Genomic DNA, 18,056 nt, shown 5'->3' with positions numbered 1-18,056 from the left:
GGTTCATTAGACCGACTTTGTATGTGTTTGAAATCTTCAGTCAACAAAATATCAGTTGGCTAGTGCCTGTAATCCCAGCACTTTGGGAGGCTGAGGCAGGCGGATCACAACGTCAGGGCGATCGAGACCAACCTGGCCAACATGGTGAAACCCCGTATCTACTAAAAATAGAAAAATTAGTGGGGCCTGGTGGCCATGTGCCTGTAATCCGAGCTACTTGCTAGGCTGAGACAGGAGAATCGCTTGAACCCGGTAGGCGGAGGTTGCAGTGAGCCGAGATCGTGCCACTGCACTCCAGCCTGGGCAACAGAGCACGACTCCCATCTCAAAAAAAAAAAAAAAATCAAACCAAACCAGGTGGATTGCTTGAGCCCAGCAGTTCAAGACCAACCTGGGAAAGAGTGAGACTCCATCTCTACAAAAAATTTAAAAAATTAGCCGGGTGTGGCCGGGTGAGATGGCTCACACCTGTAATGCCAGCACTTTGGGAGATAGAGGCACGTGGATCACCTGAGGTCGGAAGTTTGAGACCAGCTTGACCAACATGGAGAAACCCCATCTCTACTAAAAATACAAAATTAGCTGGGTGTGGTGGTGCATGCCTGTAATCCCAGCTACCTGGGAGGCTGCAGCAGGAGAATGGCTTGAACCCAGGAGGTAGAGGTTGCAGTGAGCAGAGATCGTGCCATTGCATTCCAGCCTGGGCAACAAGAGCAAAACTCCGTCTCAAAAAAAAAAAAAAAAAAAAAAAATTAGCCTGGTGTGGTGGTACGCACCTGTAGTCCCAGCTCCTTGGGAGGCTGAGGTGGGAGAATTGCCCGAGCCCAAGGAGTTCGAGGCTATAGTCAGCTCACACCTTTAATCCAGCACTTTGGGAGGCTGAGCAATTGGACATCTACAAGCCAGAAATGAACCTTGACCATACAGAAATTAACTCAAGAGGCCAGGTGTGGTGGCTTACGCCTGTAATCCCAGCACTTTGGGAGGCCAAGGCGGGTGGATCACCTGAAGTCAGGAGTTGGAAACCAGCCTGGCCAAGATGGCAAAACCCTGTCTCTACTAAAAATACAAAAATTAACTGGGCCTGGTGGTGCATGCCTGTAATCCCAGCTACTAGGGAAGCTGAGGCAGGAAGATCGCTTGAACCTGGGAGGCGGAGGTTGCAGTGAGCCAAGATTGTGCCACTGCACTCCAGCCTGGGCAACAGGGTGAGACTCCGTCTCAAAAAAAAAAAGTCACCTGCTGGGTGTGGTGGCTCACACCTGTAATCCCAGCACTTTGGGAGGCCAAGGCAGGTGGATCACCTGAGGTCGAAAATTCGAGATCAGCCTGACCAACATGGAGAAACCCCGTCTCTACTAAAAAATACACAAAATTAGCTGGGCTTTGTGGTGCATGCCTGTAATCCCAGCCACTTGGGAGGCTGAGGCAGGAGAATCGCTTAAACCCAGGAGGTGAAGGTTGCGGTAGGCCGAGATTGCACCATTGCATTCCAGCCTGGGCAGCAAGAGTGAAACTGTCACACACACACAAAAAAGTCATCTGTAAGCTTTAAAAACAAAACAAAACAAAACAAAACATGGCGCCTCCCCAAAGCACCTTTCTATGCTCCCTTAGCAAATGCCCTCAACGCTATTGCAGCTAAGAGAATGCAGCGCAGTTCTCCCTGGCACCTGTATTCTATCCTGAGCTTGGTACACAGTAGCCACTTAAGGAGTATCAATTGAATGAATGTGTGGTGCTTACAGAATTGGCTGCTACAAACGGGCATCTCCCAGAATAATTTTTACAGATGGAGTCTTGCTGTTGCCCAGGCTAAAGTGCAGTGGTGTGATCATGGCCGACTGCAGCCTTGACCTCCTGTGCTCAAGGGATCCTCCTGCCTCAGCCTCCCAAAGTGCTGGATTACAGGTGTGAGCCACTGCATCCAGCCAAGATTATCTTCATAATCCAGAAAAATGGAAATTGCTCCAAGATGCTTTAGAAGGCTGTGCATTTTCCTCCTTTGAGGAAAGAAAATTACGGACTCCCTTTGCTGCACGGCAGGCACCTGCCCCATTGCCTCAGGAGCATCTGTAAGCTGAAGGCATTCCATCTCCAACCTTGGAGTTGATCTCCACCTCCACCCTTAACCCCATCCTTAGAGACCCCACCTCCACAGACACACACAGAAGGCTAGTGAGGGTAATTTTAATAAAGCATTAGCTGGCTGTTGCTTCTTGGGGTTAAAGATCAAAGAGGAAGGGCATCACATCTGTAAGAAAAGGAGAGAGTTCAGGAGTTTATACTTCACAATTGCTGTTTCCTAGGCCTGGGATGCTCTCTCATAGCAGGTCATCTGCTTCTTTCACTCAAGGCTCAAATGCTGCCTCTTCTCTGAAGCCTCCCTGCACTGCTCCAGGGAAAGTAGAAGTACTCTTTGTACATAACCTCTATTAACTGTGCTTCTCATGTTGTGTGCTCACTATTGCCTAGACTGCTGGTCTTGGTAAGGCCAGTTGCCCCTTAGTTGTTTGCCCATGGATTCCTGGCACATCACGCCCCACACTGGTGGGGGAGGTCTCACCTCAGGCAGGCATCACCTGAGGGTCTCAGATCACTGTTAATCTCCCTGTTTCCTATAGAAGATGCATTCCCCCACCCCCACGGTGTGACCCAGGCTTCCACACTTGGCCTTGGGTCAGGATCCTCAGGTCTCTTCCCCTTGGGCCCACGCACAACAAGTCTTCACACCTGGCTGGCTCATGCACTGTTGGATACTTTCTAGCCGAGTGGAAGCCAAGGCGCGGGCCTCCTCCGCAAAGCGGCGGTGTCCCTCCTCGGTCAACTTCCAGAGGCAAGATCGAGGCCGTGTGCTGGCCCCGCCCTGCATGCTGACAGGCACTTTCTCAAAGCTGTCTCGAAAACAGAGATTGTGACGGACAGTATTCTTCCAGCCTTCCGGGGCCGTCCGGAAAAAGGGGAAGTGCTTTCTATGGACAGGGAGGAGAGGTAAGGAAAGGCATGTTATGTCTGGGGAATGCCCTTCTCTGGGGCATGTTCTACCCAGGGGCCAGGGGCTTTAGCCCTTCTCTCCAGGGGGATAGTAGCAAGTTGGCCTGGAGTTGCTCTTTGCTAACTGAGCACGTGGCAAAGCATCCACGTGGTGCGTGGCTCACCTGAACCCTCCCTCCCTCTGAGGGCCCAGGGCTTGGACCACAGCATGAACAAAGCAGAATCAGGCCAAGCAGCTCCTGTAAGAGGAATCTTGGTTGAGGACGGACACCACTTGAAAATTCCTGTCCTGAGACATTAGGCACTTCTCCTAACACTGGGAAAGGGCCCAAGAAACTCCCTTCCTCACCCTCCTGTGAGCAGGACTATCTGAGCTAAATGGAAAATCCTTCTCAACTGGGTTCTCTGCACCCCTGGGGGTGCAGGGAGCTGTGCCAGGCAGTCCAGTCCTAGCAGAAGCAGGTGGGAACCGTTGGGGAAACCTGACTTTAGACTGGCTGATCTTCAGAGGATGGTGGGGAAACTGTTACCTGACCCAAGTGAATGTATGTTTTAAAGGAGAACTATACCCAAAGAACACTGAAAACTTGTTAAAAAGAAAAAAAAAACTAAAGCCATAAAATGTGGGCACAATGTGGGCACAAATGCACCTGGGAAAAGGGAACTGGGAACATACTTGTCCTCTCAGACCCAGATAGGGAAACCAGGTCAGCAACCCAGGGCCTGGGATGGATTGGAAGGCATCAGCCCGGGGCCCTGGCCCCCACTTCCCCCTCCTCGCAGGGCCCCCGGCACATACCGAGTGAAACTGTAGATCTGTTGCACGTTGAGGCCACAGGGGGAACTGTTTCTTAATGCCAGGGCAATTAGGTGGAAGTAATTGAGAGGGGGCCGGGACCAGAGCCTCCCCGCCTGGCTGCTGGCTTGCCGAAGCCTCCGACTCTGGAGGGGGGCCCTTTTGTGAGGGGATGGGAGAGCCATAGAGGAGCTGTCTTCCTGGTCCTCAGCCTCCTCCTCTTCTGTGAGCTAGAGGAGCACAGAGTAGGAACTGGTCCTGACTCCTCAGCCTCTACTCCAGGGTGCAGTGGCAGGAAGGGGGGGTGGTCTAAGGCCACCATTTGGGCTTCTCCCCAACCCAAGCATGTAGGTAATTTCTGAACCCATTCACCTTTTGCTATGGCTAAGAGAGCAGAACTGTAATGGCTCTTCCCCATGCCCCTCGCCTACTGCCCAAGTCCCACTCCCATCCCCAAAAATGCATACCTCCCAGGTGCTGGGGGAAAAGGCAAACCGCTTCCGAGGGGGAGACCGCTTGCTGGAGGACTGGGACAGTGATTCCACCCCTGCGGCCTCTGAGCAGCTGGCATCTTCCTCCTTCTGGGGTGGCTGAGAGGAGGGGAGTGTGCTTGTCAGGTCCTCCCTCTTCCTACGTCCTGAGACCTCCAGCTTTCCAGGGGGATACACAATGTTGGGATTTACCCACATCCAGAGGTTGGGCTCATAATCTGGACCTGTGCAGAACAAAAGATTGTGTGCCACAGCCCACTGGCTTTGGGTGCCCCTGGTCTCCAGCCCAGGCCACAGAAACAGGTCAGAGAACTCAATACGTACCATCCTTATCAGGGTTGGGTTTTTTCTCTAGGGGTAATTTTGGTGGCTTAACAATTCGGAGTTTATACCTGGCAACTGGCAAAAAGAAAGACAGAGAGAGTCAAAACATCCTAGAATATCCCTTTGTGACCCTAGGATCCTAGGCCTTAAGGCTTCTCTGGGAGAAGGTTGTGGGCCCTGCCTTGGGAGTTAACATCACATTCTACTTCTACGGGTTTTCCCTTTACCTCTCTGACCTTCTCATTCCCCTCTGCATTCTTTTCTTCTCACTCTACGTATACTATCCCTGAATGATCTCATGCATGTCCGTGGCTTCAGTTAACATCTATAAAAAAATGTAGAGCTCTCAAATCTTCACCTCTAGCCTAGCATTCTGTGCTAGCCCTTAAGGAGAACTACCTACTGGATGTCTTTACTTGGGTAGCCCACAGGCACTTCAAACGCACTTCTAAAACTGAATTCCATCTTCTTGCTCTTCCTCCTGTATTCTTGTATTTTTTTTGAGACAGGGTCTTGCTCTGTTGCACAGGCTGGAGTGCAGTGGTGTGCTCAAGAGATTCTCCCACCTCAGTCTCCCAGGTAGCTGGAACTACAGGTACATGCCACTGCACCCCACTAATTTTTGTATTTTTTTTTTTTCAGATGGAGTCTCGCTCTGTCGCCCAGGCTGGAGTGTAGTGGCGCGATCTTGGCTCACTGCAACCTCTGCCTCCCAGGTTCAAGTGATTCTCCTGCCTCAGCCTCCCAAGAAGCTGGGACTACAAGCGCACGCCACCACACCCGGCTAATTTTTGTATTTTTTAGTAGAGACGTGGTTTCACCATATTGGCCAGGCTGGTGTCGAACTCCTGACTCATGATCTGCCTGCCTCACCCTCCCAAAGTGCTGGGATTACAGGCTTGAGCCACCGCGCCCAGCCCAATTTTTGTATTTTTTGTATAGATGAGGGTCTATGTTGCCTGGGCTGGTCTCGAACCCCTGGGTTCAAGCAATCCTCCTGCTTCGGGCTCCCAAAGTGTTGGGATTACGGGCGTGAGCTACCATGCCTGGCCTTCCTGTATTCTTTGTCTTAGCAAGTGGCACCACCATTAATGGTTGTTCAGGACAAAAACTATTTTTGCCCCCTCACTGTCCCTATGAGTGTCATTATATTACAGATGAATCTAGGCTTTTGTTTGAGAAATGATATACTTATCGGAGAGCTCAGTAATTAGAGAGGATGCCTATTATGTTGCTAATATTCAACATAGTATTCAAAAAAGGAAAAAGTAGCAAAAGATAGAAAAATTGGGGTTTTTTTGGAGACAGGGTCTTGCTTGGTTGCCCATGCTGGAGTGCAGTGGTGTGACACCGGCTCACTGCAATCTCCACCTCCCAACTCAAGCAATCTTCCCATCTCAGCTCTTAAATAAAGAACTTAAAATACTTGAACAAAGACTTATAATACATACTATTAAGATGCCAGTTACCCTCAAAATGAATCTGTAAGTTTTATGCACATATTATAGCACAAAAATTAAAGTTTGGCCAGGTGCGGTGGCCCACACCTGTAATCCCAGCACTTTGGGAGGCCGAGGCAGGTGGATCACTTGAGGTCAGGAGTTTGAGACCAGCCTGGCCAACAAGGTGAAACCCCATCTCTACTAAAAGTACAAAAAATTAGCCGGGCTTGGTGGTGTGTACCTGTAGTCCCAGCTACTTGGGAGGCTGAGGCAGGAGAATCACTTGAACCTGGGAGGCAGAAGTTGCAGTGAGCTGAGATCGTGCCACTACACTCCAGCCTAGGTGACACAGCAAGACTCTGTCTCAAAAAAAAGTTCTAACATAGTAAAAATCACCATAAGCAAAAAACAAATAGACAAACAAACAAAATAGCAAAACTTCAATCCAAATTTCTCAGTTCTCTGATACATAGAGAGCTCCTACAAATCAATATGTAAAAGGTCAACACAAACTTAGAAATGGACAAATGATATGAATCAGCATTCACAAGGAGGGGATAACTGAATGGCTAACGAGATGATCAGCATTATTAATAATACGAAAAACACTGTAAGATAATGAGATAATCAAATTGACTGGAATTATAAAGATAATACCAAGTGTTGAGAAACATGCAAAGAGACAGAATCTCTTATTTTACTGCAGTTCTGTGTATCAACTGGAGCAGCCCTTGTTAAGAGCAATCAGGCAGGACCACAATTTACTCGACCTTACTGTCTGCTCCTGGATGTATATATTCAAGTTAATACAGGAACTTATATACTAATCAATCTCCATTGTTACTACCATCTACTGACCTCCTGGTTTAGCTGTCACTCTCCAACACTACTCCTGCCTTAAATCTTGGCTGCTGGCCAGGTGCAGCGGCTCATGCCTGTAATCCCAGCACTTTAAGAGGCTTAGGCAGGCGGATTGCTTGGGCCCAGGAGTTTGAAATCAGCCTGGGCAACATGGTGAAACCCCATCTCTATAAAAAATACAAAGATAATAATCTAGCCGAGTGTGGTGGCGTGAGCCTGTAGTCCCAGCTACTCAGGAGGCTGAAGTGGGAGGATGGCTTGAGCGGGAAAAGGGAGGTTGCAGTGAGCCAAGCTTACGCTATTGCACTCCAGCTTGGGCAACAAAGCCAGACCTTGCTTCAAAAACAAAAACATGATCTTTGCTATTTATTGAACTCTTCTCCAGCGAGTTTGACTTCTACTCTACTGTGGACACTCCCTCAGGCATAACCTAAACCAACAACTGCAACCTCTCCGTAACCTCATTTATGCACCACATAAAAACGCACCACCTCGTGTCTTTCTGGCTAACTCCCTCAACCCCAACTATGATCCCACTGAGGTCACCAGTCCACTGAATTATGGTTTTGGCGCACTCGTTTGGCAGAGGTGGATTTAGTCAGGGTTGTGGTTTGGCCAACAAAGTGCTCCAAAGCCACAGATGATCCAGGGAACCTGCGTAATATCTGACCATGGGATTCAAGTTAGTTAAATAAGGGTGGACATATCAAGTGATTGAAACAGTGAAAAGGTGATAGGATCAATGGACTGGTGATCTCATTGCGACCCAAGGATAGCACCTTTGTATGTCTGTGTCTCTCTTTGGCACAGATCCCCCATGCTTTTTCAAGGATGTTGTTCCACAAATCTTCCCCTCTCTTTCCTGTGTCACTAATTTTTTGTCTTTGTTGGGTCATTCTCATCAGCATGCAAACATGCTGTTAATTCTCCCATTTTAGGGACCAGGTGCAGTGGCTCATGCTTGTAATCTCAGCCTGCTTTGGAAAGCTGAGGCAGGAGGATCACTTGAGCCGAGGAGTTCAAGGCTGCTCAAGGCTGCTCAAGGCTGCTCAAGACTGCAGTGAGCTGTGCTGGTGCCACTGCAGTCCAGCCTGGGCACCAGATAGAGACCCTGTCTCTAAAAAAAAAAAAAAGAAGAAAGAAAAAGAAAAAGATTATCCCATCTTATTTCCTGTTGAGGCATAACACATTGCCTCTACTTCCCCTCCTTCTACTCTTAAACCCCCTTCAGTCAGGTTTTTTGTTCTACCACTTACTAAAACCACTAACCAGGGACCTCTGCTTTGTTAAGTCCAATCATCACTTACATTCCACTCATCCAACCCCTCCCTCCTTGAAAGGCTTTTTCCACTTGGTTTCCAGGATACCACAGACGCCCTAGTTTTGATTCTCAATAGTCTTTTTTGCTAGTTATCTCTCTTCTCTCCAATCTCTTTACAATGGACTGCCCCCAGGGCTCATTCTTGTTCCTCCTCTATTCTTACTCCTTAAGTTCCACCCATATACCAAAAGACCCAAAATTTACATCTGCAGTCCCCACTTCTCTCCAGAACTCCAGGCTCATGTATCCAACTGCAGACTCAATGCTTCTACTTGGATGTCTAAGGATCTCCAGCTCAGCATATCCAGAACAGAATTCCTGATCTTCCTTCCTAAACCTGTCTCCCACTCAGTACAAGGCAACTCTATCCTTCCACTAGGTCAAAACACTTTGAAGGCTCATACTCAATTGTCTGTCTTATACGCCATATCCAATCCATCAGCATAGCCAGCTGGTTCTCCCTGCTACTACCCTGGCCCAATCTACCATCATCTCTTGTCTGGATTACTACTGCAGCCTCCTAGACTCTGTACATCCACAGTCTACTCTCAACACAACAGCCAGAGTGATCTTTTCAAATCTAGATCATGCAGGACTAGCCACATAATTTGTAGGGTCCAGTAAAGAAAACATGAGGCTCCTCGTTGAAAAATTATTAAAAATTTCAAGACAGTGACAGCAGTGTATTAAACCAAACACAGGCACCTAGGCAACTGCACGGGTCACACACTCATGAAGCAGACCCTGAGAGCATGTCACTCCTCTGCTCAATTTGGGAGGTAGGAGGATTGCTCGAGTCCAGGAGTTCAAGACCAGCCTGGGCAACATAGGGAGATCCCCATCTCTACAAATAGTAAAAAAGTTAGCCAGTGTGGTGGCCTGTGCCTGTGGTTGCAGCTACTTTGGGGACTGAGGTGGGAGCATTGCTTGAGCCTGGAGGTAATTGTGCCACTGCACTCTAGCCTGAGCAAGAGCAAGAGTCCATCTCAAACAAAACCTTACAATCAATCCTCATCTGACTCAAAGTCAACCCTAAAGTCCTTAGAGGACAGGCATTCCTGCTCTCAACCACACCCTTTGGAGCTCTTTATTTACTGTCATCCAGCCTTACTGACCTTACCACTTTCCCTTCAAGTATCCTCTGGGCTCACTCCACCCCTCCTATCAACTATTTGCTCAAATATTATGTTCCTAATTGAGTTCAACCCCACAATCTTATTTAAAACTGTAGCTGTGGCCTGGCGCGGTGGCTCACACCTGTAATCCCAGCACTTTAGGAGGCTGAGGGAAGCGGATCACTTGAGGCCAGGAGTTTGAGACCAGCCTGGCTGGCCAACATGGTGAAACCCTGTCTCTACTAAAAATATAAAAATTAGCTGGGTGTGGTGATGCATGCCTGTAATCCCAGCTACTGGTGAGGCTGAAGCACAAGAATCGCTTGAACCTGGGTGGCAGAGGGTGCAGTGAACTGAGATTGCGCTACTGTACTCCAGCCTGGGCGACAGAGTGAGACTCCATGACAAAAAAAAAAAAAAGAAGGCCGGGTGCGGTGGCTCACACCTGTAATTCTAGCACTTTGGGAGGCTGAGACGGCGGATCATGGTCAGGAATTGAAGACTAGCCTGGCCAACACAGGGAATCCCCGTCTTTACTAAAAATACAAAAATTAGCTGGGCATGGTAGCGCGTGCCTGTAGTCCCAGCTACTCGGGAGGCTGAGGCAGGAGAATCACTTGAACCCGGGGGGCAGAGGAGATCGCACCACTGCAGCGTGGGCAACAGAGCCAGACTCCATCTCAAAAAACAACAAAAACAAAAAAAACAAACTGTAGCTGCCACCACACCCTTCCCCTATTCCTGAGTCTCCTTCTCCTGTTCTTTCCCCATTGCAGATTATCACTTTATAGCATACTATATGATCTACCCATTTATTATACTTCTGTGGATTATCTGTCTGCCCCCAGTAGAATGTAAGGTTCCTTGTCTGTTCTATTCACTGTGTATCATGAGTGTCTAAAACAGTGCCAGGTCAGTTGGAGGTGCTCAATACATATTTCTTGAATGAAGAAACAAGAAAGAATGTTCATTAGCATTAATTATGGTGGCAAAGAGTTGGAAGCAATCTAGGGTAAAGAAAATTAAAATGTAAAAGGTGGGACACCCAGCCGATAGAATACTAACAACAATCAGAAATAATGAATCAGGTCTGAATTTAGCAACCTAAAACAACAGCTCTCAAAAACAATGAGTGGAGAAAACAGACGTTAAATGGATTAGGGTTGGTAATGGGAGCAGCAGAGGTAATGGAAGGAGGGGTGGAGACTTAAGGGGCAAAAGGAAGAGTTAAGGCCGGGGGCGGTGGCTCAGGCCTGTAATCCCAGCACTTTTGGGAGGCCGACATGGACAACATGGTGAAACTCTGCCTCTACTAAAAATAAAAAAAATTAACAGGGCGTGGTGGCGCACCCCTGCAATCCAGGCTACTCAGGAGGCTGGGGCGGGAGAATCGTTTGAACCCGGGAGGCGGAGGTTGCAGTGAGCCGAGATCGCGCCACTGCACTCCAGCCTGGGCGACAGAGCAAGACTCCGTCTCAAAAAAAAAATTTGGAAAAAAAAAAAAGAGTTAATCCAAGGGTCTTGCAGGCGAAAAGGTACCATGAATGTGGGGAGTAATTATGTCAACTCTCCACACTTGACGTCCAAAGAAGAAAAAGAAAACCTAAAAGATCGCGATGGTCAACTAAGCATTTGGCAAGTACGGAGCACTTGTAGGTGTCAGGCAATATGTTAAGAGGTGAGAATACAGCCATGGATAAAACGATGAGGCCTGTTTTTTTAAGAGACGGAAAAGTAACTGAAATATACAGTATAGCAAATGGCGACCAGCGCCAAGGAGAAGACCCAGAAGAGGCCTTGGAATGTTCTGGGAGCCTGGCGGGTGACGTAGAGTGGAAAGCCTCCGTTTTTAGGTGAGACCAGCTGTCCTCCGGGAGCTTCCAATTGAGTCAGGCGCGAACCCCCCCACCCCCCAAACCACTCCCGAGTAGAGTTCGCGAGTGGGGGTGGAGCGGGGGCGGCGGAGCTAAGCCGTCGGGGGGGGGGGGCGCGGGGCGCTCGGCCCCCCAAGCCTCCCCGGGAGGTGGGGGCGAAGGCTGGGGAGCCGTCTGCCCCGGGGTCCCGCGAGCCCCTAGGCCACCCTCCGCCACGCCCAGCCCCCCACCTCACCCCACCCGCTACTCACGTTTCTGCTCCGCTAAGGGGAGGTGAGATGTGGTGAAGGCCAGAAAGAGCTCGTTCCCCATGTCCCAGTCCAGCAGTCCCGGGACCTGGCCATGGAGGCGGGCCCAGAAGTCGAGGTGTTGGAGCTTCACGTCCACCTTCGGGGCTGGCAGAGGCGCGGCGGCGCGGAGTGGGGACGCGGAGTGGGAGCGCGGCGGCTGAGGAGCGACCCTCACAGGCGCCTTCTCAAATGCGCCGGCTCGGATTGAGTTAGCTTGGCGGCAGCTCAGGTGTGGAGCGGTCCATTTGACGCCTTTAATCTCTTCAGGACCGCGCCGAGGAACGCTTAAGAAGACCCTCCTTGACTCTACCCTTACATGCCGGGGGTCGAGGACCTGGGGATCCGGAAGGGACCCCAGATCATCTTACGCATCCTCGTTTGCCCAAGCCCCTTGCCCCTTATTTCATTGAAAAGGCGCCATGGTCAAGTGATCGTATTTATTTATTTTTATAGTTTTGCTTTAACATTGATCCTTTCTACCATAATAGTATTAGTAGTTACTTTCTAGAAGTTATGAAAGGTTTATGGTTTATCCACGATCACATCTGTAGTAGATGGTGGAGATGGAATTACATTGGATGGTGATTTGATTAAAAAAATTTTTTTTTGTCTTTTGGCCGCATGCGGTGGTTCACGCATGTAATCCCAACACTCTGGGAGGCCGAGGTGGACGGATCACCTGAGGTCAGAAGTTTGAGACCAGCCTGACCGATGGTGAGACCCCGTTTCTACTAAAAATACAAAAAAATTAGCAGTGCGTGGTGGCTCACGCCTGTAATCCCAGCTACTAGGGAGGCTGAGGCAGGAGAATCGCTTAAACCCGGGAGGTGGAGGTTGCAGTGAGCCGAGATGGTGCCACTGCACTCCAGCCTGGGGGACAATAAAATTAAAATAAAAATTTTGTTTTTAATAATTTCAGATTTGCAGAAAAATCCCAAGAATGCTACAAAAAATTCCTGTATACTTTTTCACCCAGATTGACCAATTACACCAATTATTATCATTTTATCACATTTATATTTTTATTTCCATATATACTACAAATACATTATGTTTTGCTTAACAATTTGAGAGTAATTTGCAGACATCGTGTCCCTTTACCCAAAAATATTTCTGTATTTCCTAAAAACAAGGATATTGTTTTATGTATCCAGAAAATCAGAAATCAGAAAATTTAAGATTGATTCAATGTTATATTTAATATGCAGTTCTTATTCAGATTTTACCAATTGTCCCAACAATGTCATTTATGTAAATTTTTTTTTCTGGCCGTTATCCCTTTTAGCACTATGCAATACATTTAATATCCATGTCTGTTTACTCTCCATTAATCTGGAACAATTTCTTTCTCTTTTTTTTTAAAGCCAAATTTAGCAATAGGGGGTTGTATACCAACTTTAGTGACACTAATGTTATTAATAATAAGTTCTGATAACCCACTACCATCAGACAAGCCATCTTTACTTTTTTGTTTTTTTGAGACAGGGTTTCACTTTGTCACCCAGGCTGGAGTGTAGTGGTGCAATCGGCTCACTGCAGCCTCAACTTCCTAGACTCCAGCAATCCTCCCACCTCAGCCTCCCGGGTAGCTAGGACCACAGTTGTGCGACACCATGCCCAGCTAATTTTTGGTAGAGTCAGGGTTTGCCATGTTGCCCAGGCTGGGTCTCAAACTCCTGACCTCAAGTGATCCAACTGCCTCAGCCTCTCAACGTGCTGTGATTACAGGCATGAGCCACCGCACCCGGGCTCTCTGTCTTTATAATCTTTCATAACATTGACATTTTTGAAGAGCACTGGCCATTTGTTTTGTAGAATGGCCCTCAGTTTGGATTTGGCTAATGTTTCCTCTTAATTAGAGTATGCATTTTTGGCAAGAATACTACAGAAGTGATGTTTCTTCTTTTTTTAACTTTTAGGTTCAAGTGTACATGTGCAGGTTTGCTACATATGACTCATGTCACGGGGGTTTGTTGTACAGATTATTTCATCACCTAGGTACTAAACCTAGTACGCAAGAGTTATTTTTTTCTGCTCCTCTCCCTCTTCCCATCCTCCACCCTCAAGTAGGCCCCAGTGTCTGTGTGGTTCCCCTCTTTGAGTTCATGAGTTCTTATCTTTTAGCTTCCACTTACAAGTGAGAACATGTGGCATTTGGTTTTCTGTTCTTGCATTAGTTTGCTAAGGATAATGGCCTCCAGCTTCATCCCGGTTCCCACAGAAGACATGATCTCATTCTTTTTTATGGCTGCATAGTATTCCATGATGTATATGTACCGTGCTGTATATGTACCCCTTCTCTCTTTCTTTCTTTCTTTTTCTTCCTTTCTTTCTTTCTTTCCTTCCTTCCTTCCTTCCTTCCTTCCTTCCTTCCTTCCTTCTTCCTTCCCTCCCTCCCTCCCTCCTCCCTTCCCTCCTCCCTTCTCTTCCCTCTCCTCCCTTCCCCTCCCCTCCCCTTCCCTTCCCTTCCTTTGCTCTTGTTGCCCAGGCTGGAGTACAATGGCGTGACCTCAGCTCCCAGGTTCAAGCGATTCTCTTGCCTCCACCTCCCTAGTAGCTGGGATTACAGGCGGCCCCAATGATGCCCAGCTAATTTTTGTATTTTTAGTAGAGACGAAGTTTCACCATGTTGGCCAGGCTGGTATCGAACTCCTGACCTCAAGTGGTCCTCCTGCCTTGGCCTTCCAAAGTGCTGGGATTACAGGCGTGAGCCACCGCGCCTGGCCATGCATATGTCTTTATGGTAGAATGATTTATATTCCTTTGGGTATACACCCGAAAATGGGATTACTGGGTTGAATGGTAATCACCAAACTGCATTCCACAATGGCTGAAGTAATTTACATTCCCACCAGCGGTGTATAAGGCTTTCCTTTTGTCCACAACTTTGCCAGCATGTGTTATTTTCTGACTTTGAATAATAGCCATTCTGGCTGGGCGCAGTGGCTCACGCCTGTAATCCCAACACTTTGGGAGGCCGAGGCGGGTGGATCACCTGAGGTCGGGAGTTCGAGACCAGCATGGCCAACATGGTGAAACCCCGTCTTTACTAAAAGTACAAAAATTAGCTGGGCATGGTGATGCGCGTCTGTAATCCCAGCTAATCAGGAGGCTGAGGCAGGAGAATCTCTTGAACCCCGGAGGCATAGGTTGCAGTGAGCCAAGATCGTGCCACTGCACTCTAGCCTGGGCAACAGAGAGAGACCATCTCAAAAAAAAAAAAAAAAGCCATTCTGACTGGTGTGAGATGGTATCTCATTGTGGTTTTGATCTGCATTTCTCTAATGATTGGTGGTGATGAGCATTTTCTCATGTACGTGTATATCTTCTTTTGAAAAGCATCTGTTGGCTGGTCACAGTGGCTCGTGCCTGTAATCCCAGAACTTTGGGAGGCTCAGGCGGGTGGATCACTTGAGCTCAGGAATTCAAGACCAACCTGAGCAACATGGCAAAACCCCATCTCTGCAAAAGCTACAAAAATTAGCTGGGCATGGTGGCGTGTACCTGTTGTCCCAGCTACTCGGGAGGCTCAGGTGGGAGGATTACTTGAGCCTGGGAGGCGGAGGCTGCACTAAGCTGAGATTACACCACTGCACTCCAGCCTGGGTGACAGAGTGAGACCCTCATCTAAGAAAAAAAAAGAAAGAAAGAAAAGAAAAGTGTTTCATCCTTTGTCCACTTTTTAATGGGCTTGTTTTTTTCATTGTGAATTTGTTTAAGGTCCTTGTAGATTCTGGATATCAGACCTGTGTCAGATGTGTATTTTCTCCCATTCTTTAGGTTGACTGTTTATTCTGTTGATAGTTTATTTTGCTGTGCAGAAGCTCTTAAATTGAATTAGATCCCATTTGTCAAATTTTGCCTTTGTTGCAATTGCTTTTGGTGTCTTTGTCAGGAAAGCTCAATGTTAGATTATTTGAATGCTAGTCAATAATGTTCATTGGCAATTTTTATTTTATTTTGTATTTTATTTTATTTTATTTTTTTTTGAGACGGATCTTGCTATGTCGCCCAGGCTGGAGTGCAGTGGTGCGATCTCGGCTCACTGCAAGCTCCACCTCCCGGGTTCACGCCATTCTCCTGCCTCAGCCTCCCGAGTAGCTGGGACCACAGGCGCCCGCCACCACGCCCAGCTAATTTTTTGTATTTTTAGTAGAGACGGGGTTTCACCGCGTTAGCCAGGATGGTCTTGATCTCCTGACCTCGTGATCTGCCTGCCTCGGCCTACCAAAGTGCTGGGATTACAGGCGTGAGCCACCGCGCCCGGCCTAGTGATTTTTGTAAATTGATTTTGTATGCTGAAAGTTTGCTGAAGTTGTTTACCAGCTGAGGGAGCTTTTGGGCCAAAGAAGTGATGTTTCTTTCTTAGTGCATGGCATCAAGAAGCAGATGGTGTCAGTTTGTCTCGTTATTCGTGATGTTTAACTTCAATCACTTCATTTAGTGGTATCTATCAGATTTCTCTACTGTAAAGTTATCTTTCTTCCCTTTTGTAATTAGTAAGTAATTTGTGGGGAGATATTCTGAAATTATCTAAAATCCTGTTCCTTATTAAACTTGGACTCAATAACATTCATTTATGATTCTTGACTGAATCAATCATTAGTATGATGGTTATAAAATGATAATTTTTCTAAATCTATCATTCCTTCTCCATTTATTTAGTCAGCATTCTATTGTAAAGAAGAGCTTTTTCTCCTCTCGTATTTGTTAGAATGTACTCGACAGGCACGGTGGGTCACTCCTGTAATATCAGCGTTTTGGAAGGCTGAGTTGGGAGGATGGCTTAAGCACATGAGTTTTGGACCAGCCTGGGCAACATGACAAGACACCGTCTTGACAAAAAATTTAGAAATTAGCTGGTCATCAAGGCTGCAGTGGGCTGTGATCATGCTACTGCACTCCATCCTGGGCAACAGAATGAGACTCTGTGTCAAAAAGTAAAAAATAAGAATAGACTCAATGGATTTTTTTTTTTTTTTTGAGACGGAGTCTCGCTCTTTCGCCAGGCTGGAGGGCAGGGGGCAATCTCGGCTCACTGCAACCTCCACCTCCCAGGTTTAAGTGATTCTCCTGCTTCAGCCTCCCAAGTAGCTGGGATTACAGGCATGTGCCACCACTCCCAGCTAATTTTTTTTTTTTCTCATAGAGACGGAGTTTCACCATGTTGGGCAGGCTGGTCTCGAACTCCTGACCTCAAGTGTTCCACCTGGCTTAGCCTCCCAAAGTGCTGGGATTACAGGCGTGAGCCATCGCGCCTGGCCCAACTCAATGGATCCTTATTTTGTTGATTAGGTTATAATTCATTACTGTTATTCTTTTAGTCCTAAAACTGTCCCAGACTTGCCCAGGGGGTGAGGCATCCTCCTCTGGTTCCTTGGTGTGGCATCCCGGGTTCCCCTAGCAGAGACCATCCACCCGGTACTGTGTTGCTTGTTGCCTGTGTCCTAGACCAGAAACTTTGCATAGTATTTTAGGATTTGGTACATAGGAGACCCTCAATAGATGTTGATTTAACTAAAGTGAAATCAGCAGTTTCCTCTCCCACTCTGCAAATGCTTGTGATTGGAAACAGCTTATTTTTTATTTTTTAAAATTTGCTTTATTTTGAGACAGTCATCTCCTTTCTTGCCTAGGCTGGTTTCAAACTCAAACTTGAGCCCAAGTGTTAGAGACCAGCCCGAGCAACATAGCAAGACCTCATCTCTAATAATCATAATAAGAAAAAAAGTTTGGCTAGGCATGGTGGCTCACACCTGTAATCCTAGCACTTTGGGAAGCAGGGGTGGGCAGATCACCTGAGGCCAGGAGTTCAAGACCAGCCTGGCCAACATGGTGAAACCCCGTCTCTACTAAAAATATAAAAATTAATTGGCCGGGAGCGGTGGCTCACGCCTGTAATCCCAATACTTTGGGAGGCTGAGGCGGGTGGATCACGAGGTCAGGAGTTCGAGACCAGCCTGGCCAAGATGTTGAAACCCTGACTCTACTAAAAATACAAAAATTAGCCAGGCGCGGTGGCATGTGCCTGTAATCCCAGCTACTCGGGAGGCTTAGGCAGGAGAATTGCTTGAACCTGGGAGGCGGAGATTGCAGTGAGCTGATATCGCATGACTGCACTCTAGCCTGGGCGACAGAGCAAGACTCCATCTCAAAAAAGAAAAAAAAATTAGCTAGGTGTGGTGGCACGCATCTGTAATCCGAACTACTTGGAAGGCTGATGCAGGAGAATCCCTTGAATTCGAGAGGTATAGGTTGCAGTGAGCTGAGATCGCATCATTGCACTCCAGCCTGCACAACAGAGCGAGACTGTCTCAACAACAAAAAAGTTTGCTGGGAGTCTACCTTTAATTGCAATAACAATAATCTTTTTTTTTTTTTTGAGGTAGAGTTCCACTCTGTCGCCCAGGTTGGAATGCAGTGATATGATCTTGGCTCACCGCAATCTCTACCTCCTGTATTCAAGCGATTCTCCTGCCTCAGCCTCCTGAGTAGCTGGGATCACAGGCACCCGCCACCACGCCTGGCTAATTTTTTGTGTGTCTATA

General features: G+C 47.6%; 1 protein-coding gene across 4 annotated transcripts, besides 3 other annotated features; it reads right to left on the bottom strand.

Annotated features, from left to right (window-relative positions):
* Positions 1 to 2,174: 2,174 nt before the first annotated feature.
* FOXR1 (forkhead box R1) lies at positions 2,175 to 11,701 on the bottom strand. Of its 4 annotated transcripts, NM_181721.3 has the most exons (6): positions 11,470 to 11,701; positions 4,606 to 4,680; positions 4,258 to 4,505; positions 3,794 to 4,020; positions 2,734 to 2,972; positions 2,175 to 2,254 (listed from the first exon to the last, which is right to left on the bottom strand). In NM_181721.3, exons 1-6 carry the CDS (start codon positions 11,528 to 11,530, stop codon positions 2,226 to 2,228), a joined length of 879 nt encoding a protein of 292 aa, NP_859072.1. In that variant the 5' UTR covers positions 11,531 to 11,701; the 3' UTR covers positions 2,175 to 2,225. The 4 variants fall into 4 exon arrangements, with proteins under 4 accessions (NP_859072.1, XP_016873064.1, XP_016873065.1 ...); XM_017017575.2 differs by lacking the exon at positions 2,175 to 2,254 and having other exon boundaries at positions 2,606 to 2,972; XM_017017576.2 differs by lacking the exon at positions 2,175 to 2,254 and having other exon boundaries at positions 2,606 to 2,894.
* Positions 2,285 to 2,802: an enhancer, noted in NCBI's record as "H3K4me1 hESC enhancer chr11:118851370-118851887 (GRCh37/hg19 assembly coordinates)". NCBI's record gives its function as "activates a minimal SCP1, AML or CMV promoter by ChIP-STARR-seq in naive and primed H9 embryonic stem cells {active_cell/tissue: H9 hESC(naive and primed)}" and the evidence as "EXISTENCE:reporter gene assay evidence [ECO:0000049][PMID:30033119]".
* Positions 2,803 to 3,321: an enhancer, noted in NCBI's record as "H3K4me1 hESC enhancer chr11:118850851-118851369 (GRCh37/hg19 assembly coordinates)". NCBI's record gives its function as "activates a minimal SCP1, AML or CMV promoter by ChIP-STARR-seq in primed H9 embryonic stem cells {active_cell/tissue: H9 hESC(primed)}" and the evidence as "EXISTENCE:reporter gene assay evidence [ECO:0000049][PMID:30033119]".
* Positions 11,181 to 11,681: an enhancer, noted in NCBI's record as "H3K27ac hESC enhancer chr11:118842491-118842991 (GRCh37/hg19 assembly coordinates)". NCBI's record gives its function as "activates a minimal SCP1, AML or CMV promoter by ChIP-STARR-seq in naive H9 embryonic stem cells {active_cell/tissue: H9 hESC(naive)}" and the evidence as "EXISTENCE:reporter gene assay evidence [ECO:0000049][PMID:30033119]".

This window comes from Homo sapiens, chromosome 11, assembly GCF_000001405.40.
Source record: "Homo sapiens chromosome 11, GRCh38.p14 Primary Assembly".
NCBI lineage: Eukaryota > Metazoa > Chordata > Mammalia > Primates > Hominidae > Homo > Homo sapiens.
Note: the sequence above shows the minus strand (reverse complement) of the source record. Positions and strands in the feature narration are given on the sequence as shown.